At 43.2% G+C, this 24,864-nt stretch overlaps 1 long non-coding RNA gene across 1 annotated transcript; it reads right to left on the bottom strand.

Annotated features, from left to right (window-relative positions):
* Positions 1 to 12,739: 12,739 nt before the first annotated feature.
* On the bottom strand, positions 12,740 to 22,180 carry LOC105375512 (uncharacterized). Its single transcript, NR_133931.1, has 3 exons — positions 22,123 to 22,180; positions 16,100 to 16,189; positions 12,740 to 13,042 (listed from the first exon to the last, which is right to left on the bottom strand). It is a non-coding gene; the product is annotated as an uncharacterized LOC105375512 (long non-coding RNA).
* Between the last annotated feature and the right edge of the window lie 2,684 nt (positions 22,181 to 24,864).

Here is a 24,864-nt window from a genome sequence, read left to right on the forward strand (position 1 = left end):
CCAGGCGTGGTGGTGGGCACCTGTAATCCCAGCTACTCAGAAGGCTGAGGCAGGAAAATCGCTTGAACATGGCGGGCGGAGGTTGCAGTGAGCGGAGATCGCGTCACTGCACTCCAGCCCCGGAGGGAGAGTGAGACTCCATCACACACACACACACAAAAACTGTATTTCTATACACTGGCAATTAACAAGCCAAAAATGAAATGAGGAGAGCAATTCCACTTATAATAGTATGAAAAACAATTCAAATGTTCATTAATTGATGAATGGAAAAACAAAATGTAATATATCCAGAAAATGGAATATTAATGGGGAATAAAAAGGAAGAAAGTACTGATATATACTACAATATGGATGAACCTCAAAGACATTATGCCAAGTGAAAGAAGCCAGACACAAAAGGCGGTTGAAATGTTCAGAATAGGCAAGTCCATGGAAAACAAAAGAAGATTAGGCTTGGAGAGGGTAGGAGGAGGTGAGATGTAGAGTAACTTCTAATTGTTACATAGTTTCTTAACTTCTAATTGGTACATAGTTTCTTTTGGAGGAGTGATAAAAATGCCTAAAATTAGATTGTGATGGTTGCACAATGCTATAAGTATGCTGAAATTTATTGAAATGTACACTTCAAATGGATGAACTTTATGACATGTAAATTACATATTAATAACACCGTTAAAAGTATTAGCTAGGCATAGTGGTATGCACATATAGTCCTATTTATTCTGGAAGCTGACGTGGGAAGATCACTTGAACCCAGGACTTGGAGGCCACCGTGAGCTATAAATGCGCCCCTGCTCTCCAGCCTGGGCAACAGAGCAAGACCCTGTCTCTAAATAAATAAGTAAAGCTGTTAAAGAATGTATAGTTATTAAGATAGCTTGAGAAAGACTTTTTAAAAAAGAATGTATAGTTAGTTAAACATGATAGAAATTATCATTTTTTAAAGTCCAAATATTTTTTTTGGAAAAAAAAGGAAAAAGAAAAAAAGAAGAAAAAAAAACTGTGAGCAGCTTTGTAATAGTGAAATACAAGCCAGTTAAAAGGGAGACTAGCATAAAGCAAGCCCTTAAAAATTAGTTTAGTCTTGGCCAGGCACGGTGGCTCACACGTGTAATCCCAGCACTTTGGGAGGCTGAGGTGGACAGATAACCTGAGATCAGGAGTTCAAGACCAGCCTGGCAAACATGGTAAAACGCTGTCTCTACTAAAAATACAAAAATTAGCCAGGTCTGGTGGCAGGCACCTGTAATCACAGCTACTCGGGAGGCTGAGGCATGAGAATCGCTTGAACCTGGGAGGCAGAGATTGCAGTGAGCTGAAATTGCACCACTGCACTCCAGCCTGGGCAACAGAGTTAGACTCTGTCTCAAAAAAAAAAAAAAAATAGTTTAGTCTCACAAATACAGAGCACTGATGTGAAGACCCAGGACTCCAGAAGCTTCTAGGGATGCCTAGGATTCAGAAAGGCCTTCCAACTGAAGTCTTTATAATGGCCGGCTCTGCCCAGGCTGCTGGGCTTCTGGAGGCCCAGTCGTGCAATGCTTCCTAGGTTCTGGGGCACATACAGCGTTACCAGAGGATCTTCCTCATTATATGAGACTTCCCAAATATCAATAACAATAATGCAACATATTTCTTCAGTCTCCACCCAGGAAACAAGCACTCTAGGTATTGAATGTCAGCAGTTTACTTTGATACAGAGCTGAGAACTGAGCAGTAATTTGGTTTTTCACAAATCTTAGCTTGACCACTAAGCAATATTACCTTCCAACTCCTTTGTTCTTTTTCCCTTTTCCACCACGTCAAATCTTTGCAATGAATGCTGGAAAAAAGAGAAAGAAGGAAAAGAGGGAGAGAGGGAGAAAGTAAAAATTCAGTCATCCCTAATGATCTCCTTCCCCTAAAAAGAAAAATATATATATACCTAAACTTCCAAATCAGCCAGGTGCAGCTGCTCACACCTGTAATCCCAACACTTTGGGAGGCTGAAATGGGAGGATCACTTGAGCCCAGGAGTTCACGACCAGCCTGGGCAACTTCCAGACCAGCCTGGGCAAACTGGCAAGACCCCATCTCTACAAAAAATACAAAATTTACTCAGTGGTGATGTGCACCTGTCATCTCACCTACTGAGCAAGCTGAAGTCCAAGGATCACTTGAGCCCAGGAGGTCTAGGCTGCAGTGAGCCATGATCGTCCCACTGCACTCCAGCCTGGGTGACAGAGTGAGACCCTGTCTCAGAATAAATAAATGAATAAAAATAAACTTTCAAATGACTCAAACAGACAAAATTACAGAAGGTTTGCTCTATGTACGCCAATTTTTCAATCGCACCTTTAAACAAAAAGTAGGAAAAGGCCTAATCCTGGCGACCTCACTTCTGCTACTCCTTCACACACCACTTGACTGTCCCTGCTCTACTTGGTGGGAATGTAGAAAGATATGGATGAGAAGCAAAGGTAAAAATAGAAAGAACGTGACATGGGATAATGAGGGAGAGGGAGGAGAGAGACCCACTCTTGGTCCCCAGCTAGAAAAGCTAATCATTGTGCTGTTCATCACAGCCCCCTCCCTCCCCAGCAATTCTGAGTAGCATGCTAGCTGCACAGTAGAGCACTTGGATTCTATGACCTGTGCTGAAATAGAATATAGATCTAATGATGGTGTTTTCTGAGCTAAAAATTGAAGCAATTGCTCTATTATTTGTGAACTTAAAGAGACAATGAAATCAGTCCTTGAAATCAGGATTATCCTGCAAAATCTAGGACATATAGTTGCCATAGTTATAGCAAACCAATTAAAATCACCAAAAAGTGCCTCATGTGTAGTGCAATCAATACAGAGACAATCTGAAAATATGGACTAAGACATATTTGACAAGCCATAATAGCGCATCAGCTTTAAAACTTTTTCCACCAATTATTGTTTGTAGAATCATATAAAAAAATGAAGTCCTAAAACAGTATTGTGTGTGTGTGTGTGTGTGTGTGAGAGAGAGCATGCATGCGGATGCATGCACATGTGCTTATGTGACATATCTTGAAACAAGAATTTTGAGCAGCACGCTTGAAAAGATTAAAAACTCAAAATGGCATAAAACAAGTCATCAATAATTAGAAGGCATTTACAAGTACAGTATAACTATGCGACTTTGAAAATACCCACAGCTATGGCATTAATCACATAGTCTCCCTTTAGTAGCCATAATGATCAAGTGATTTAGTGCATTGATCAGGTAGAACTGATTCACTGTACTGCCCGTGTGTCTAGTGAAATCATAAGGCAGAGATCCCCCCATGTTTCAGAAACCACTCCATCTATCTTTGGCTTTCAACTAATAGTACCTTTGTGATAAGGTTTGGCTGTGTCCCCATCCAAATCTCATCTTGAATTGTAATAATCCCCACGTGTCAAGGGTGGGACCAGGTGGAGATAATTGAATCATGGGGTCAGTTTCCCCCATACTATTCTCATGATAGTGAGTGAGTTCTCAGGAGGTCTGATGGTCTTATAAGGTGCTTTTTCCCCTTTAGCTCGGCAATTCTTCTTGCTGCTGCCATCCAAGAAGGATGTGTTTACTTCCCCTTCCACCATGATTGTAAGTTTCCTGAGGCCTCCCCAGCCATGCTGAACTGTGAGTCAATTAAACCTCTTTCCTTTATAAATTACCCACTCTTCGGTATGTCTTTATTAACAGTGTAAGAAAGGATGAATACACTTTGCTACTAAGTCCTTGTTCATGGTAAATTGTATATGCTATGCCATGCCGTGTCTTAGGATGGGCTCTGGTGACCGTTCAGTTTAACAGACATCACTTAATGCTCGATAGCTAAAGTAAATCTTACACACAGGTCATAACTTGGCAGTTCCCCAGGAAGATTTTTTTTGTTACCTCTGGCATAAAGTTTATTCTAGAGTAAAGCCTCACCAAATTAACAGCAGGTTTCTAAAAGTCCACTCTCTGTCCTTTCCTGGACATTCTTCTGCTTTGCTTTTCTCATTTTTACTTTTTTTTCTCTCTGACACCTTATTTCTTTTCTCCTCATCTTACATTCATCAACATACAGTGGCTGAAATACTGAGTCTAAGGGCATAGAAGGAGGGGTGGCAGTGAGTGGGGACAAGTGTGCACGGAGTAAGAAGAAAACTCAGCCCAGCTCCTGCATCTTCGAAACTCAAGCCCTGCCAGAGTTCCAAGGTCTTTTGATTTCCTTTGTGTTGGATTTAGAGTGATCATCTCTGAAAAACAGAGACCGAGTCAGAAGAGACTCATTTCTCATCTCCATGCCTTAAACAAGCACAAACATTCCATCTGTCATCTCTCCTGATGGCTCCTCTGTCCTTGATGAATTTTCAAGCCATTTTTATTTGAGAGCACAGGGACATTCTCCTAACCTTTTAACAATGTCTACCTGTCATGGAGCTTGAGAGATTTCTGAAATGCAGGCTGTTAGCCTCTTTACTTCCAAATAACAAATGCTTGAAATGCATCAAGGTTATATGGGCATTTCTGCTGTGATGTTGGACAGGCAGAGAAATGCCTGTTTATTGATGGTAATAGTGTAGAAATGTCCCTAAGTACACATTCTACACAGCTGGTCCTCACCCGAGTGTGCTGCCTTGTTTGGTTCCACTTTTGCAGCAGCTCAGGGAGGCACCCAAGATGGGCACACCCTGAGCCTCTCAACTCCAGTGAAACTCTGGTTTACTCACATGTTCCAAAGCATAGTGGATTCCAACTTTCGGCCTGGAACAAGAGTTGGTACAATGCAATTCTTTTATTAGAACTCAAGGAGCTGGGCCTGGGCTCGGTGGCTCACACCTGTAATCCCAGCACTTTGGGAGGCCAAAGCAGGCAGATCAATTGAGGTCGGGAGTTTGAGACAGCCTGGCCAACATGGTGAAACTCCGCCTCTATTGAAAATACAAAAATTAGCCAGGCGTGAGCTGGGCACGGTGGCTCTTGCCTGTAATCCCAGCACTTTGGGAGGCCAAGATGGGTGGATCACGAGGTCAGGAGATCGAGACCATCCTGGCTAACATGGTGAAAACCCATCTCTACTAAAAATACAAAAAAATTAGCTGGGTGTGTTGGCAGATGCCTGTAGTCTCAGCTACTTGGGAGGCCGAGGCAGGAGAATGGCATGAACCGGGGAGGCAGAGCTTGCACTGAGCTTGCACTGAGATTGCACCACTGCACTCCAGCCTGGGCGACAGAGTAAGACTCCACCTCAAAAAAAAAAAAAAAGAAATAGCCAGGTGTGGTGGCACGCACCTGTAATCCCAGCTACTCAGGAGGCTGAGGCAGGAGAATTGCTTGAATCTGGGAGGTGGAGGCGGTAGTGAGCCAAGATTGTGCCACTGCACTCCAGCCTGGGCAACAGCCAGACTCTGTCATCTCAGGAAAAAAAAAAAAAAACTAATGGAGCTGGGCACAGTGGCTCATGCCTGTAATTCCAGCACTTTGAAAGGCTGAAGCAGGAGGACTGCTGGAGCCCAGGAGTTTGAGACCAGCCTGAGTAACAAAACGAGCCCCCCTTCTACAAAAAAAAAATTGGGAGGGGCGTGGTGGTGCAGCCTTGGGAGGTTGAGGCAGGATACTCGCTTAAGCCTGGGAGGTCGAGGCTGCAGTGAGCACCACTGCACTCCAGCCTGGGCAACATGGTGAGATCCTGTCTCAAAAACAAAAACTCACAGGACTTTCAAGTGGAAGCAACCTTAACAACCATCTAACCTTCCTCTTTATGTCACACATGAAAGAACCAAGACTCAGAGAGGCTGAGTGAGTTGCCCAAGGCCACACAGCCTGGTGACATCAGGGCCTGGCAAGAGTCCGTATCTCCAGGCATTCTGTCTAGTACTCTGCCGCCAGCTATGTTCTCTCTCATGGGAAACTGCCCTCATGAGCCCTATGTGCAGGACTTTGGTGGTGGATAAAGGATACTGCAGCAGCTACTGGAGCTGTGGCAAACATGATTGCTAAGTGGAGGGATGGTGCACAATTGTGAGGTGGCAATGCAGGCCTCTGGTACAGGGGTGACTTGGGCCTGGCATAAATCAATACACATTCCCTGTGGGAATACTGGGGAAGGAGTACTGGCTTCATTCAATTCATTAGCTAATGACCCAGCAATTCTACTCCTGGGTACACATAATAGAAACGAATGTTTATTTCTACCAACAGACACATGCAGGAATATTTATTACAGCTTTATTCACAAGAGCCCCAAGCAGAAAATAGCCCAAATGTCATCAGCTTTAGAATAGATAAATAAATCGTATATTCACAGAATGGAATGCTATACTACAACAACAACAACAAAAAACAATAAACTATCGCTATACTCAACAACATAGGTGAATATCATAGGCATAATGTTGAACAAAAGAAGTCCAACATAGAAGAATACAGGCTGCATAAGGCCATTTACATAGTGTTTAAGAACAGGCAAAATTATTATTATTACTATACTCACCACTACACTAAAGAGGAAGGAACAGGCAAAATTAATCTTTGGTGATAAATATCAGAGAAGTGGTTGCCTTTGTGCATTGTTTTCTGCATGTTGCCACATAAAGCATACTTACTGATAAACTGTGTACACCTCACCTGTGTACCAAAGTCACCCACATTTTCCCAGTCTTTAGGGTAGCATAGGGTGGTCATTGCACAAGGCCGGGAATACTTAGTCCCTTTGGATTCTGGGGTAGGAGGTAGAGACTGGCTCAGGGGTTACAGGGGTCTCTTAGGGCACTGACCAGGGACAAAAACTATAGAGAATAGGTTGGAGCCTGAGGAATTATTTGAATGTATTGTTTCTTGATGGCTGGTGAATGACAGAAGGAAAGTCATTTACTCCCAAGACTTGGCTGTTTGGCTGGGTGTGGTGGCTCATGCCTATAATCCCAGCACTTTGGGAGGCTGAAGCGGGTGGATCACCTGAGGTCAGGAGTTCAAGACCAGCCTAGCCAACATGGTGAAACGCCATCTCTACTAAAAATACAAAAATTAGCTGGGCGTGGTGGCACACGTCTATAATCCCAGCAACTTGGGAGGCTGAGGTGGGAGGATCACTTGAGCCTGGGAGTTCAAGGCCGCAGTGAGCCATGATCACACCACTGTACTTCAGCCTGGGTGATAAAGACCCTGTCTCAAAAAATAAAAACAAAAGTCACCTGTAAATAACTACCCATAAAAAACTACTCCTAATATATTAATAATATGCACACATAACCTTTTATTTCTCCAAGAAAAATGGGACCATATTGTATATACTGTTCTTAACCTGCTGGGTTTTTTGCTTAATGCATTGTGATTCTGTTTTCCATGTTATGAAATGTTCTTTTACAATAGTATTTTTAATTATTGTGTAGTGTTTCTTTGTGTAAAAAATCTTATTTATCAAATTTCCTACTATTGGGCATTTAGGAATTTTTTCTCTAAGTTTTAAAACATTAACTTTTTTTTTTTTTTTGAGACAGAGTCTTGCTCTGTCACCCAGGCTACAGTGCAGTGGCGCAATCTCGGCTCACTGCAACCTCTGCCTCCCAGGTTCAAGCGATTCTTCTGCCTCAGCCTCCCTAGTAGCTGGGACAACAGGCGACTGCCACCACGCCTGGTTAATTTTTGTATTTCTAGTAGAGACGGGGTTTCACCATACTGGCCAGGCTGGTCTCAAACTCCTGACCTGGTGATCCTCCCGCCTCAGCCTCCCAAAGTGCTGGGATTACAGGCGTGAGCCACCACACCCAACCCTTTTTTTTTTTCTTTCTTGAGACAGGGTCTTGCTCTGTCACCCAGGCTGGAGTGCAGTGGCGCGATCTCAGCTCACTGCAAGCTCCATCTCCTGGGATCAAGTGATTCTCCCACCTCAGCCTCCTGAGTAGCTGGGACTACAGGCTTGTGCCACCATGCCCGGCTAATTTTTTGTATTTTTAGTAGAGATGGGGATTTGCCATGTTGGCCAGGCTGGTCTTGAACTCGTCTCCTCAAGTGTTCGGCCCACCTCAGCCTCCCAAAGTGTTAGGATTGGAGGCATGAGCCACCGCGCCTGGCCTAAAACATCAACATTATTAACAATTATGCTGATGAAGATTCTTGCAGGCAACTCACTGTGCATATTTATGATTATCCCCTAGGATAAGTTTCTAGCAATGAAATTACGGGGGACAAGAGTATGTACAGTGTCAGCTCTCTCATGTGTCTTACGTCTGCATGCTGAAACAATTTATGGTTTAGGGACATGCAATAGTTGTTTCCTGTATCCCTAATGACGCTGAATACATCGCTTTTCAAACCATTACCAATTTGGTAAGCAGAGCTCAATAGCTCAAAGTTTTAATATGCATTTATTTTATTATTAGCAAGGTTGAACTTTTTTACATACATGTTTTTATTTGTATTTCTGCATATGTCAATTCATGTTCTTTGTCCATTTCTCTATTGGTGTACTCATCTTTTCTAAAATATTATTTTAATTAATTATGGTTTTTAACTTAATACTATTTATCTTTACTTTTTAATTATTCATCTTTAAAATGTATAATTAATTATTTTAATTTATAACATTACTTACAATTTTTTATACTACTAATTACGACTTTATACTTTAAGCCATTTTATATCTATTTTTGTTAATCTTTCAAATTTGTTCTCATTTTTTATAATTGCTGTTATCTAATTTGAGCCTTTTGAAATACTTTTTTCAATCATTTTATTGCCTTATATCATTCTTTTTATCCCCTTCTTATTTCTCTTGAAAATCATCTCCTCTGTTTTTAATTATCTCTTTCAATGACTTTTAAACTAATAGGAGAAAAAGTGGGAAGAGAAATAGTAAGTGTGGGGAGAGTCCATGATGTTCTAGAGAGTTTAGGAGCCTTCTTTCCCCGGCTGCCCCGAGGCTATTCTTCCACTGGACCTCCTTTCCTTCCAAGGCTGGTTTCCCTGCCCTCAGGGACCCACAGAGCAATCCTCCTGACCACAGCCTGTGTGTGTGTATGTAGGAATGCCATTGTCTCTGGACCTCTGCCTCCACACCTTTCACAGAGAGCTATGAGATGATCAGCGGGGTCCCTGACACACACAGCCACTAGATTTGGGGCAAGCTGTGCCAACGATATCCCAGGAGAAAGGAGGGGAAGGTGGGCAGAAGAAGACATCTAGGGAAGGGCACTCTGCAAATTGCCTTTCTCCTAACTGTGGAGAGAAACCAAGGGGTGTCGCATCTCTAGAACAGCTCCCACTCTCCTTCCTTGTACTGTGAGCTCCTTGAACGCAGGGACTCTGTCTTCTTCAACTTTATATTCAGTCCATACTGGATCCCTAGTCTTCCGACGCATGTTTGTTAAATGAATTAATTAACGTGAACCAAGTATGTTCTCTTTTCTAAAGGGCCAGCATCGTGTGGTGGGGTCAGAAATCTTAGGTTGTAACTCCAGCTTTATAATTAGTAAAGTAAGACCTATAGCGAGATCATGGATATAATGTTTAATTTCTCTAATTGTTGGCTTTCTCGTTTCTAAAAAAAGGATAATACCTAACCAATTTACTTTATAAGGGTAAAATAAGGAAAACCCTATAGGTTGTTATGGAGATTTCAGAAGAAGTTTTTAAGTCATTTAAATGTAAAAGTTGTTTGGGAAAATTTAATTAGAATACAAAATAACTAAGATATGAGTGCCCTTTTCCCTCACTCTTGCCCAATACTCAGGTGTGGCTGGTCCACTCAGCAGGTCCTGTTGTAAGTTCTTGTCACACGACCAGGAAAGATTAGGCACGCAGACACTTTGAAGGGTGAGGGGTTACAGAATTTATTGAGGGAAAAGGAAAAAGACTCTCGGCAAAGCAAGAGGGGCTCCTGTTAACAGGCCCCCATCTTACAGATTGAATTTCAGGTCACCACCCAGGAACAGGAGAAGCCAGGCTCCTCCCCACTGCAAATGGCACAAACTTCCTGAGGCCTCACCCCATCCTCCCAGTGTGCAGGCCAGTTGGAAATTTTCCAGGGAGCCCTTTTTACTTGGCTGTCTCAGTCCCACTGTCCTTTTTCTCCATCCCACACCTGATGGAGCTACTCAGTGGAGGCAGAGGCACCAGGCTGGGTGAATCTCTGTAGGAAAGGCCTGGGTTGACTCCAAGAGAGACCAGCAGAGGGGAGGAGGGAAGAGGATAAGAGAGGCCTCAGGGGCAGGGAAGATGTGATGGAGGAAGGCTGCAGAGAAGGTCCCAGGGGTCAGGGGTTGGAAAATGGAGTGACAAGAGAGATAGGGAAATTCAGTCAACCTTTCTGTGGACTATGAACTGGCTCCACTTTATTCTTTTTCAGTAGATGCCAGTTGTACCTGTCAGGGTTCTCCACAGAAATTGAACCTGTAGGAGATGTAGATGATAGAGATAGAGGTAGAGAGGTAAATGTGTGCCGGGCATGGTGGTTCACGCCTGTTCACTCCCAGTACTTTGGGAGGCCGAGGTGGGAGGATCCCTTGAGTCCAGGAATTCAAGACCAGCCTGGGCAACATAGGGAGACCCCCACCTTTACAAAAAAAATAATTTAAAAATTACCCTGGAGTTGTGGCATGTGCCTGTGGTTCCAGCTACTCAAGAGGCTGAGGTGAGAGGATCGCCTGAGCCCAGGAGGTCAGCGCTGCAGTGAGCCGTGATCGCACCATTGCAGACCAGCCTGGGCAACAGAGACTCTGTCTCCAAGAAAAAGAGAGAGAGAGAGAGAGAGAGAGAGAGAGAGAAAGTAGATGTGGATATAGATCTATCATGTATATATGTGTGAGGTATATGTATATTCCAAGGAATTGGCTTACACAGTTTTGGGGGCTGACAAATCTGAAATCTGCTGGACAAGCTAGCAGGCTGGCAGTCTGGAACCTCTGGGTCAGGAGCTGATGTGGCAGTCTTGAAGCAGAATTCCTTCCTCCTCAGGAAAACCTAGTTTTACTCTTAAAGCCTTCTAACTGACTAATAAGGCCCACCCACATTATTGAGGATAATTTCCTTGACTTAAAGCCACATCTCCAACATACCACCACAGCAACACCTAGATTTGTGCTTGAGTAACTGTGTACTGCAGCCTAGCCAAGTTGCACAGAAAACTGACCATCACGCCAGTATAGATTGGATCTGCTTTACATTTTTGCTGCTAGGCTGTTTCTTTGAGTGAGACCCTGATCTGAGATTGAACTACACAGTGCAATGGGATTTATTTCTGATAATGAGTGTAAAGCCCCATGCATACAAATACAAGGACTGGCTGGGCGTGGTGGCTCACACCTGTAATCCCAGCACTTTGGGAGTCCAAGGTGGGCGAATCACCTGAGGTCAGGAGTTCGGGACCCGCCTGGCCAACATGGTGAAACTCCATCTCTACTAAAAACTGCAAAAATTAGCTGGGCGTGGTGGTGTGTGCCTGTAGTCCCAGCCACTCAGGAGGTTGAGGCATGAGAATTACTTGAACCTGAGGGGTGGAGGTTGCAGTGAGCCAAGATCGCGCCACTGCACTCCAGCCTCGGCAACAGAGTGAGACTCTGCCTCAAAAAACAAATAAACAAAAGTAAATAAAATAAAAACAAATACAAGGACCAGCATCACTCCATGGATTAAGGAGGTGCTGTGCAAGTATTAGGTTGGTGCAAAAGTAATTGCTGCTTTTGCCATTATTTTCAACCCCAATTACTCTTCTTCAATATTTTTGCTGATTAAAATTATAGAGTGAAAAGGGGAAGAGAAAGTAATTGGGCAGCTGGGCATTCTGGCTGTGTCCTTAGGGGATTCTGGGGAGAGAGCCTTCTCTCTGAGGGTGGGCAATCTAAAAGTGTACATCCCGGCCTGCAAAGCTGACCCAAAGGGAGCACTGGTGTCTTCATAGGGCACTTTGGTGCTTGACATGTGTGTAGTAACTTAGTCCAAGCATCTGCAAAGTCCAAGTGATCTATTCATTTGTAAACGAAAATACCTCCCAAGAGGAAAGAGAAGGCCAGGAGGGACACAGAGAAGCAAGCTGATTCCAGCAATGGAAGAAAGAAAATGCTCCAAAGGCTCCTTGGGTAGCCCGTAGCCCAGTCCTCTGAGGAAGAGCTCTCCTTCCTGAGCACTGGCTTCTTTAGGGTCCTGAATGCAGGCTGCTCAAAGCCCTGTGTCTCAGGGCCCCTTCTCTTTTCTTTTTCTTTCTTTTTTTTTTTTTTTTTTTTTGAGACAGAGTGTCACACTGTCACCCAGGCTGGAGTGCAGTGGCGCGATCTCTGCTCACTGCAACCTCCACCTCCAGGGTTCAAGCGATTCTCCTGCCTCAGCCTCCCGAGTAGCTGGGATTACAGGTGCCCACCACCATGCCTGGCTAATTTTTTGTATTTTTAGTAGAGGTGGGGTTTCACTATGTTGGCCAGGCTGGTCTTGAACTCCTGACTTCGTGATCTGCCTGCCTCGGCCTCCTAAAGTGCTGGGATTACAGGTGTGAGCCACCACACCTGGCCCCAGGGCCTCTTCTATAGAGAGGGCAGCCTGACAGGAGGCAAGAGAGACAGCCACTTCCTGGGCCCCCATCTACCCTCACCCCATCCCCATGGAACCACTTCCTCCCACTCAAGCATCACGGATCACCCATGGACTGTTGAAGCCTTCTTGGCCTTCCTGGAGTAGATTTCCTGGATGGGGATGCCGTCCTCCAGACACCCCTTCCCAAGCTGCATGCTATAAACTGAATCCTTAGCATGGAAAACAAAAGCCTTGCCAGCCCACGAATCACTTTTAATGATCCCTGAAAGAAACCATCAGTAAACCTCAGGCAGAGATCTGGAAGTCTGGAGGTATGGCTACAAAAACACAAGGTGAGGAAGGTGACATATCAAGGCTCATTTCACTTGGGCAGCATCTCTGTTTCTTTCTTTCATGGATCATTGTGTTTGCCTCTTTGTCTGCCGGGAGGTAGAGATGCATCTTACCTGAACACATTAGGAATTTATAGTTAATCTTGAGCTGTGATGAGCCTTATCCATCTCGATATTAGTACCATACTCGGGACTGTGCTGCCTGTGTGTTGAGACAGAGGGATTCAATTATAAACAAAATGCCTGCAACAAATGCCAGCCTTCTCCTATTAGAATGTTAAATGGTCAATGTAGCTGTGAGCGCAGGAGGAAAAGCTATTGTCGGCTCCCTCCACCCCTCACCCTACTTCATTTCTTCTGCCCTGCCTTCCCCAGCCTCTTAGGGATCTGGTATGGTGATGAAACTCAGTCCTCACCCTTTTAGCCTGGTCACAGTCCCCTCCCAGGTTTAAGTAGACTCCAGAGTGCTAGAGCCCATTTGACAGAGAGGAAGTACATCACTATTATAGCCCTGATTTAATATCACGAATATGGTAAATCATATTTTCAAAAAATGGCCAGAGCCATATTTCCAATATTCCTGGTCCCATGTTCTTTTCCTGAACTTTTCACTCCCTATTAACGGGTGGAGTCTGCTTTCCCTTCCTCTGAACCTGGTTGGGCTTTCTGACAGATTCAGTGAATAGAGTGCAGCAGATGAGATCCTGTATGGCTTCTGCAAGTCTGGGTTATAAAAAGCAATATTGCTTCTGCCTGGTTCCCTCTTTCTCAAGATGCCAAGCTTTGGAGCCCAGTCACCATGCTGTGGAGAACCCCAGGCCACATAGAGAGGCCATGTATGGTTGTTCCAGCTGACAGTCCCTGCTAAGGTCACAGCTTCCAGCTGGCAGCACCCACCAGACCTGGGAGGGAGTGAGACTTCAGATGATTCCAGCCTGGGCACACCCCAGCGTATGTGGGTGGAGCACAGATGAGTTCTCCCTGCTGAGCTCTGCTCAAATTGCAATTTGTGAGCAAAATTAATGCCCTATTGTTTCAAGCCATAAAGTTATAGGGTAATTTTGTTGGAATAGGCATAGCAACTGGAATAATGACTCTTCTAGATCTGGAATCTAGAAGCCTGAAAAGACTACTGCACTCTTCACTCACTGAGTCAGGTCAGTCTCAAGCCAGGCCCAGAAAGACAAACACTGCATGATCTCCTTACAAGTGGAATCTAAAAAAGTTGAACTCGCAGAAGCAGAGAGTTGAACGGAAGTTGCCAGGGGTTGGGGAGTGGGGAAAATGGGAGATGTTCGTCAAAGGGTACAAATTTTCAGTTATAAAATGAACAAGTTCTGGGATCTAATGAATAGCATGGGTGGTGATGGATGTGTTAATTAATTTGACTGCAGTAGCCATTACACAATGTATATATATGTCAAATCATCACATTATACACCTTGAATATGGTCTATCTTTATTTGACAATTCAATATTTTTTTGGGAGGCCGAGGCGGGTGGATCACTTGAGGTCAGGAGTTCAAGACCAGTCTGGCCAACATGGCAAAACCCCATCTTTACTAAAAATATAAAAATTAGCTGGGCATGGTGGCATGCACCTGTAGTCACAGTTACTCAGGAGGCTGAGGCACAATAATCGCTTGAACCCGGGAGGCAAAGGTTGCCGTGAGCCAAGATCACGCCACTACACTCCAGCTTGGGCGATAGAGTGAAACTGTGTCTCAAAAAAGATATATATTTTTAAAAACTTAAAGAAAAAGAAAATACCAGTGTTTTGCTGAAGTCAACAAGCTTTATACAAAAGCACTGGTACAAGCCAGGTGCAGTGGTGCCAGCTGTAGTCCTACATCGGAGGCTTGAGGCAGGAGGAATAGCTTGAGCCCAGGCATTCGAGACCAGCCTGGGCAACATAGTGAGACCCTGTCTCAAAAATAAAACAAAATCATTTTTTCAAAAGCACTAGTACAAATAAAAGCCTTGACAGTTTTACTGTAAAGAAAAAGGTCTAGAACAACAAACATTAAATTGGTCATTTTTGAGGAGGAGAATGGAATGTGAGGTGATAAACTGCGGACTTTAGTTTTTTGCTGTATATACCTCCGTATTATTTGAAAAGAATACAAACAAGTATTATAATTTCTAAAATTCTAAAACCAACCAACTAACCAATTAATAAGTAAATGTCTTGCTTATTGATTGACTTAGAACTGAAAAAGAGAGAACGGACATGTCTTGCCATCCCCGGGCTCTTTCTGGAGCACTTGGTTCCTTTCTGGATGTTGGCAAAAGAGACAGTGATGGGGAATCTCCCCTTAGACTTCTTCCCCTTTCCCATGCAGGGCAGGTCTGGTCAAGTACAGGACACCTGTGGCCTATAAGGTCCTGGGATGATTAGCGAATATCAAATCTAGGCAGCACCAAGCAGTCTCCCTCCCGGGATTTCTAAGAAAGTGTGATACCCAGATGCTGTTTCTTTCATTTGAATGTGACGATGAAGCTGTTTCTTTACTTTTCTGTTTTAGAACAAAGCTTTTAAAGCCATACCATCAGTTGTTAAAGCACCTTGAGTTGTTTGTCTAAAAATGGGGATGATTTCTCAAAGAACTACTGACGAACACTTGCCAGGTTTCTCTGACAGCCACTGGCTCAATTTTGGGAGATGTTGGTTATGAGTAGCTGGTGACATTGGGAGAGATGGAGACTGAACTCATGGTTCAGATCCAGTAACAACAGAAGTCGATCATTTTGAAGTGGATACAGCTAATCTTGTGAATGGACATAGCACCAGAATACAATGCATTCTTATACTTTATTTACTAAGCAAACAGAGGCAAATGGCTTGATTTCTCTTTCATTCATCCTCTTAACACTCAACTGAGCTCCCACTTGTACCAGAATGTTCCATCCTTAGTAAAATGAACTGCGGACAGCATATGAGTGGCTTGTAAATATGAAAGTGTTGCCTTTTACCTTGGATGTGCCTTGGCCAGGCCATATGTAACTTAAGCCATGGCTACCGAGAATGACATTGTATCAAGTTCCCCAGGGAACAGCAGTGGCAGAATCAGAAATAAAAAAGCTGACCAAAAGCTCTCTTTTCATGCTAGCTGGAATTTACCGAAAGTGAATCCAAACTGCAAAAGGGTACTAAGGCTGGGTTAGAAATTATAAACCTTCATGAGACACAAATAAAACACACTTCCCTATAGATCAGCCAGCAGTACAGGAGACGACTGCCTCCTGTCTGGGAGCTTACCTCTGCAAGGATTCAGTGGAGTGGCACTGGGGAGCAGGTAGCATTTTGATTGTGAATGTTTCTTTGATTTGGCACTGCTCTGAGACGGATCTGTTCCATAATAGATTTAGGGTGGTTATATACACAATCTCGTGATGCTGGCTAGCAGAAAGTTTGAATACTCAAGTGATACTTTAAATATACTTTTCAAAGGAACGCATTTTTAAGTACCCCTCAATTCTTTCATTTCTTTTATCGTTTGAAACCCAAGGTAAGTGTTTCCTCATCAAATAGTACATTCTCTTTAAATATACTAAATCACATGCTAAGCATTCCTTTCCCTCTTTTTACAAAATGATCAGATTAGGAAGAATGACATTGCAACTGTATTGCTAATTTCTTTATCTGTCCTTACAAAGGTTTAGCTTTCCAAAGCAGCTTTAAAATTTAAGTGCCTATGAGATGCCATGTGCAGTCAGGTACCAAAGATACAGCTCTACCTGCAATGGCTTTCTGTTTGAGGTGGCAGTTCTAAGCATTAATGTATTAATGTGCACCAGAACCACCTGAGATACATTTTTTTCTTTTTTGAGGCAGGGTCTCACTCTGTTGCTCAGGTTGGAGTACAGTGGTATGATCTTAGCTCACTGTAGTCTTGACTTCCCCAGGCTCAGGCGATCCTCCCACCTTAGCCTCCAGAGTACCTACTACTACAGGTAGGCACCACCATGCTTAGCTAATTTTTTTTCTTTTTTTTTGGTGGGGGGAGACAGGGTTTTGCCATGTTGCCCAGGCTGCTCTCCAATTCCTGGGGTCAAGTGATCTACCCACCTTGGCCTCCCAAAGTGCTGAGATTATAGGCATGAGCCACCACACCTGGCCTAGGATACTTTTTATTTATTTGTTTATTTATTTATTTATTTATTTTTGAAACAGATTCTGGCTCTGTCACCCAAGCTGGAGTGCCGTGGCCTGATCTTGGCTTACTGCAACCTCTGCCTCCTGGGTTCAAGCGATTCTCCTGCCTCAGCCTACCAAGTAGCTGGGATTACAGGTGCCTGCCACCATGCCCAGCTAATTTTTGTATTTTCAGTAGAGACAGGGATCTCACCACATTGGCCAGGCTGGTCTCGAGCTCCTGACCTCAAATGATCCACCTGCCTCAGCCTCCCAAAGTGCTAGGATTACAGGCACAAGCCACCGTGCCCAGCCTGGGATACTTTTTAAACATGTAAATACCTGGCTCCATCCCCAGAGGTTGTGTTTCATTAGGTCTGGGGTGTGTCCTCTGGCATCTGCCTTTTAACAAGCATCCCAGATGATTCCATTGAGAATAGTCTGCAGCCTACGCCACCCCTCCAGAGGTGAAAATCTCCTTCGTGGCCTTCCTGTCCGCCTACACTAGAAAGTGCCATTGTGCAGCATTTGACACTTATCTGTCATTTTACTTTTCGGAATTGACTTTTTATATAGTGCCTTTATTAAAACTCAATTTTTACTTTTTCCTATTTGTCCTGCAAGGTCCAGACTTGAGATAGAAATAGGTTTGAGGCTGGGTGCCGTGGCTGACGCCTGTAATCCCAACACTTTGGGAGGCTGAGGCAGGCAGATCATGGGGTCAGGTGTTTGAGAACAGCCTGGCCAACATGGTGAAACCTCATCTCTACTAAAGATACAAAAAAATTAGCTGGGAGTGGTGGCCCACACCTGTAATCCCCGCTACTTGGGAAGTTGAGGCAGGAGAATCACTCAAACCCAGGAGGCAGAGATTGAGGGAGCTGAGATCGCAACCCTGCACTCCAGCCTGGGCCACAGAGTGAGACTCTGTCTCAAAATAATAACAATAAACAAGTTCGGAGGAGCAAGATTACAGGGAAGTGGATGTTTAAAGTCTAAATCAGAATCTAATTTTGATGCAAGGTATAATATTCACTTACTAAACGCAGCTTAGGGATTCTGAGCTAAGAAATATTCATGTGGATAAGAAAAAAATCTACTGTAGAAGTGAATTACATGTTCTTTTCAGAAATGTCATCCTCTATTTCATTAAAACAGTTTTAGTGCTAAAGAAAAAAAGGCATGAGTCCTGTTTAGCTAAACTGTAATTGCTGAAAGTATGATGGGACATTTCATTCTCCCAGCCCCCAGGCTTCCCTCAATTCGTGTTAATAGCCAGGTTGGCAGGACACACAACTTGAACACTGAAAAGGCCATCACATCCTGATTCAAGACCTCATAGCTAAAGAATTTATCGTCTTATCATTGGGTCAAAAAAATTGTTGCTTCTGTTTTGACCTTCCATAAACCCTCTTCTCTCCCTAGGGCTCCTCGGCATAAAACAGAATTGAAACCAACTAAGCAGGGTCACAAATATTACTTCCCATCAGTTCCCTGGGCTTCTTAAAGATGGTAGCCAAGGTTAGGAGAGTGGATATTACTCCTGAGCTGCACGGATAGAGTGAATAAAGTTGTGAAATCTCCACTCCTCTGATAATTAAGGTTCTGACCACAGGAGAATAAGAAGAATTAGAAAAATGAGTGGTACTGGATGATTATTGTTTTGTTTGTATGTTTGTTTGTTTTGTCCATTTAACATCTCTTTCTTCTTCGGTAATTGAATCCCTCTTTTCTATGGGAAACTCTTTATGTGTGGTTTGGATAGAGTTGCCCCTGCCCATTACCACAATCAGAGTACTCGGGTTCCTTTTCTTAACCCCTCCACACTGCCCCCTCCACCCACCCCCGCCCCAGCCTGATCCCCAGCCCTGGAGTAGTTGGCTACTAGATAGGCATATAGGCACATGCCTTAAAGGGGCCAGTCGATAATGTCCCTGGTACTTTTCTGCCAGAGGTACGAGAAACCTTCTCTTTCCCCTGGGATTGCTAAACCAACAGGAGGGGAATCTTGGGCTGTGGGGTGTCATCATTATCATCACGATGAAAGAACCTACCTGAGCTAGGAAAAGATAGATGGACCTCGGGTGACAATATTTGAGCCCTGAATGCAGCCAAGTCTGATTTTTAATTACATGAGTCCATAAAAACTGTCCCATCACTTGAGGCCAGGAGTTTGAGATCAGCCTGGGCAATATAGTAGATCCTTCCCTCTTCAATTCAAAATTTAAAACGAGCTGGGCATGGTGGCATGCACCTGTGGTTCCAGTTACTTGGGAGGCTGAGGTGGGAGGATTGCCTGAGCCCTGGAGGAGGAGGCTGCAGTGAGCCATGATTGCGCCACTGCACTCCAGCCTGGGTGACAGAGTGAGATCCTGTCTCAAATAAAATAAAACCCCTCCATAGACTGTTTGCCCCTAGGTTAGTTGAGGGTGGCTTTCTGTCACTTGCAACCAAAAGAACTCTGAGCAATACAGATTATACATTTGTCCTTGAGATTTATGGCATGGTGGAGTGGATGCTACTGATGCAGCCAGTGGCCTCATCTCCCAGCTGCTGTGAGTGGTGTCTAATGACTTATACCTGTGACTGTCCTGGAGGATTGCCCTTGAATGACAAAGTACCCTCACCCTGAAATGCGTGGGAATTTACATCCCACTCAGGAGTCAGGCATGCACTAACTGATACACTTCTGCTGCAAGGTGGGACAGCTCTGCAGAGCAATTTCTGAGCCCAGGCTCCCCAGAGATCTGCCAAGGCTGGAGTTTACCTGAGGCCACACAGTGCTCAGCTCCTCCCCTTCCGCATCTGCTTTTCTTGCCCTGTTACAATTTTCCTGAAGAGCCTTCCCTCAGTATACTCCCGTTTTTTTGTTTGTTTGTTTGTTTTTTTGATGGACTCTCTCTCTGTCACCCAGGCTGGAGTGCAATGGCATAATCTCGGCTCACTGCAACCTCCACCTTCCGGATTCAAGTGATTCTCCTGCCTCAGCCTCCCGAGTAGCTGGGATTACATACATGTGCATGCCACCATGCCAGGCTAATTTTTGTATTTTTAGTAGAGACAGGGTTTCACCATGTTGGCCAGGCTGGTCTCAAACTCCTGACCTCAAGTGATCCACCTGCCTCAGCCTCCCAAAGTGCTGGGATTACAGGCATGAGCCACTGCGCCTGGCACCCTCGGTACATTTCCTGCACCTGAATTCCTGCCTTGGCCTCTGCTTTTAGGGAATACAATCTAAGACATATAGTCTTTTTTAAATTAGTTCTCATTTTAATCAAATAAATATATTACATGGTTAAAAAGCAAAAAGGTATGAAGAGGTTTTTGCTGGTAAACAGCAGTCTCCTGCTCAACCCTTCTCCACCCCCAGTCAGGGAGGCAATTAATCTCGACTCTTCTAATTCCCTATTACCTATGTCAACGATTTCAATGGCAAGCATACATTATTTCCATTTTAAGCATTATCTGCTGACGTCCCCCAAGGGCAGAGGAGAACTTTGCTCATTTATACTGCCTTTGCTCTCATTCTTCCCATCCCCCACCAGCATCACGTATCAGAACTTCTGGTTCAATCAATAGTTGTTTGTTCGTTTGAGACAGGGTCTTGCTCTGTTGCCCAGGCTGGAGTGTAGTGGCCTGATTTCGGCTCACTGCAGTCTCAACCCCCGAGTCTGAAGACATCTTCCCATCTCAGCCTCCTGAGTAGCTGGCACTACAGGCATACACCACCACACCTGGCTAATTTTTGTATTTTTTTGTAGAGATGGGGTTTCACCATGTTGCCCAGGCTGATCTTGAACTCCTGAGCAGAAATGATTCACCCACCTTGGCATCTCAAAGTGCTGGGAGGCATGAGCCACTGTGCCCAGCCAATAGTTATTTTTTATATTATTGTGACTATTATAACCTATAACCATATCTCATCAAATGTGAGATTGTCATCAATTGTAAGATATATTATTTTGTGTTAATTTTTTTATTTTTAATTTTTGTGGGTACATAATAGGTGTTTACATTTATGGGGTACGTGAGATGTTTTGATTCAGGCATGCAATGTGAAGTAAGCACATCATGGAAAATGGGGTATCCATCCCCCCTCAAGCATTTATTCTTTGTATTACAAACAATCTAATTATGCTCTTTTAGTTTTTTGTTGTTGTCGTATTTTTTTTTTTTTTTTTTTTGGTGAGACGGAGTTTCACTCTTTGTTGCCCAGGCTAGAGCACAATGGTGTGATCTTGGCTCACAGCAACCTCCACCTCCCAGGTTTAAGCAATTCTCCTGCCTCAGCCTCCCGAGTAGCTGGGATTACAGGCATGTGCCACCACGCCTGGCTAATTTTGTATTTTTAGTGGAAATGGGGTTTCTACATGTTGGTCAGGCTGCTCTCAAACTCCCGACCTCAGGTGATCCGCCAGCCTCGGCCTCCCAAAGTGCTGGGATTACAGACATGAGCCACTGTGCCCAGCCATTCTTTTAGTTATTTTTAAGTGTACAATCAAACTATTATTGACTATAATGACCCTCTTGTGCTATCAAACACTAGATCTTATTCATTCTTTCTATTGTTTTTGGTACCCATTAACAAACCTCCCCTTCCACCCGCCACCACCCCCTGCCCGCCAACTACCTCTCCTAGCCTGTGGTAACCTGTACTATTATTGTATATACTACTGAGAAGACAAAATGTTGCCAATTAAGCATGACATACCATCAATTATATGTTTCATCCCAGTTTCAGAAATAGCAACATGTAAAACAAAAACGTTTTGTCAGTCCCCCTTCCCTACACATTAGAATATCAGATCCATAAAAGCAAGCACTTTGTTTGTTTTCTTCACTGCTGCAGGCTTGGTAAAGCACACAAAACTCAATGAAGAACTGTTGAATGAATATGCAAATTCTGATTCCTTTTGAGCTGCACAGTTTGCTATGATGCAGTTTGATTCTTATGTAACCCATTTGCTTAGTTTTCTAGGAACCTCCCATTAGTAATTCCCAAGTGTCCCAGCATTACTGTCACATATGCTTTCATCCCATTCTCATGTGCTCAAACATGTCAGTCCCATCTTCTCTCCTATTTAGGAGACTCTGGATTGACCTCCTGAAGCCCTCTGTCCTTCTATTCCCATCTCTACCTCCCTCACCTCATTTGGGAATTCCCTTTACTGCTGTCTTGTGTTCTTTTTTTCTTGATCCCATGTTTCCCCTTTTTTGGATTACCACCTTGTTCTTATGGAGCATATCCTTGATGATCTTCCCGGGAAAGGTCTTTTTTTGGGGAGTGGTTGTGTGTCTAAAAAGATCTTTATTATACCACCCCATTATTGATTGATAATTTGGGGTAGGTAGAGAATTCTAGAATGAGTATTGTTTTTCACTCAGAGCTTTGAAGGCTCCATGGAATGAATCAGCCCTCCTACTCCCACAGGCACTGTGGTGTGGCCTTCTTTGCTAATCAGCTGCTACTCTTCCATCTTCCTGCCATTTCCCAAAAATAACCTGAAATCTGTTTATTCTTGCTTCATCTCCAATTTTTTTGGTCTTTGTGAGTTTATCCCTTTTTAAAAAATTTATTTACTCTTTATTATTTAGTAGAGTTTTAAGAAACAGAGGAAAGACATTACTTCTGGTTACTGTTTTTCCATTGGGGATTTGTTTTTAAATAACATTTCCTTATTTCAAAGTTAATGTATGTTTATTGAATAAAACACAAGTAAGCAAAAGAAGGAAAATTAATATCACCTGTGATCCCACTGCCTAGAGAAAGTAATTGTGACTATGGATTTTTCCAGCACTTTTTACTGTATGTCACATAAAAAAAGTTGTCATTACTATTGTTACCCACTGCTACCCCTATTAAGGGGTGGGAGAAAGGATGCTGGTAACAGGAGATCCCTTTTGTGAAACACTATAATGGGAGGGGTAATGCAAATTTGGAGCTAGAAGCTGAAACAGAGGATTATTCTACATAATTAAAGGTGGTACCAATGCATTTGGGGCTAGAGGGAAAGCCAGGAGAAAGTGTACAGAGGCCAGGGATGTTGAGTATTGTATTAAAGATGGATGGCAAAAAAACTCCTATTGGCATCAAGGTAGAAAAAAAAAGGATTTTCAAAACTAGACCTGACTGATGGATCAGTGCTTGCTTAAGGATGTGAAGTGTAAACCCACTTTATTGTATTGTTCAATGTTACCTAAATTAGTAAGCTCTTTCTCAGAAAATTCAAGAGCTACTTGGTCATCTATACAATTCAGTATGAGAACAAGCATTACATGTGGAAAAATGTGATATTTAGTTTACATAAACATATATGTATATTTTAGGAAAAATGGGACCATTTTTATACTGGGCTCTTATGCATCATGTTTTTTTCCACTAAGTAACTGTGAATGACTTTCACATTATTAAAAATTCCACTACTGAGACAACTGAATAGATACCTACCTGCAAAAGAAAGTAAAAAGACAGCATATAAAAACGGGAGAAAATATTTGCAAATCATATATCTAGTATCCAGAATATGTAAAGAAATCCTACAACTCAACAACAAAAGGTAAAACAATCAAACTAAAAAAATGGAGACAGGACAGATTCACAAGAAGATATACAAATGGCCAAGAAGCACATAAAAATATGCTCAATAGCATTAGTCATTAGGGAAATGCAAATCAAAACCACAAGATGATACCACTTCACACCTACTAGAATGGCTATAATAAATCTTTTTTTTAAAAGACAGAAAATAGCCTGGACATGATGACTCATGCCTGTAATCTCAACATTTTGGGAAGCCAAGGTGGGAGGATCACTTGAGGCTGGAAGTTTAAGACCAGCCTGAGCAATATAACAAGACCCTGTCTCTACAAAAAATTTGAAAAATTAGCCAGGCATGGTGGTGCACATCTGTAGTCCCTGCTACTTGGGAGGCTGAGGCTGGAGGATTGCTTGAGCTCAGGAGTTTGAGTTTGCAATGAACTATGATTACACCACTGCAGTCTAGCCTGGGTGACAGAGCAAGACCCTATCTCGAAAATAAAATAAAATTAAACACAGAAAATAGTGTTGGCAAGGATGTGGAGAGATTGGAGCCCTCATACATTGGTGTTGGGAATGTAAAATGGTTCAGCTGCTACAAAAAAACAGTTTCTTTTTGGTTCCTCAAAAAGTTAATGTATGACCTAGCAATTCCGCTCCTACGTATACACTCACATGAATTAGAAACAGATACTCAAATACACGTACATCCATGTTTGCAGCACTATTCACAATAGCCAAAAGGTGGAAACAACCCACATGTTCATCAATGGATGAATGGATAAACAAATTGTGGTATATACATACAATGGAATATTATTTAGCTGTAATAAGAAATGATAAACTAATACAGCTCTACAACATGAATAAACCTATAAAACACTCTGAAGCGAGGCACAAAAGCTCAAATATCATATGGTTCCATTGATTTGACATATCCAGAATAAGCGAATCTGTAGAGACAGAAATCAAGATAAGGATTTCTGTGGGGTCAGGTGCTGGAGGGATGGAGAAATGAGAAGTAATGGCTTAATGTTTGTGGGTTTCCTTTTAGGATGATAAAAACATTTTGAAACTAGATTAAGGTATTACTTGTGCAAAGTATAAATGTGCTAACTGCCACTAGGTTGTTCACTTTAAAATTTTTTTTTTTTTTTTTTTTTTTTTTGAGACGGAGTCTCGCTCTGTCGCCCAGGCTGGAGTGCAGTGGTGTGATCTCAGCTCACTGCAAGCTCCGCCTCCCAGGTTCACGCCATTCTCCTGCCTCAGACTCCCGAGTAGCTGGGACTACAGGTGCCCGCCACCACACGCAGTTAATTTTTTTGTATTTTTAGTAGAGACAGAGTTTCAT

This window comes from Homo sapiens, chromosome 7 (genome assembly GCF_000001405.40).
Source record: "Homo sapiens chromosome 7, GRCh38.p14 Primary Assembly".
Taxonomy (NCBI): domain Eukaryota; kingdom Metazoa; phylum Chordata; class Mammalia; order Primates; family Hominidae; genus Homo; species Homo sapiens.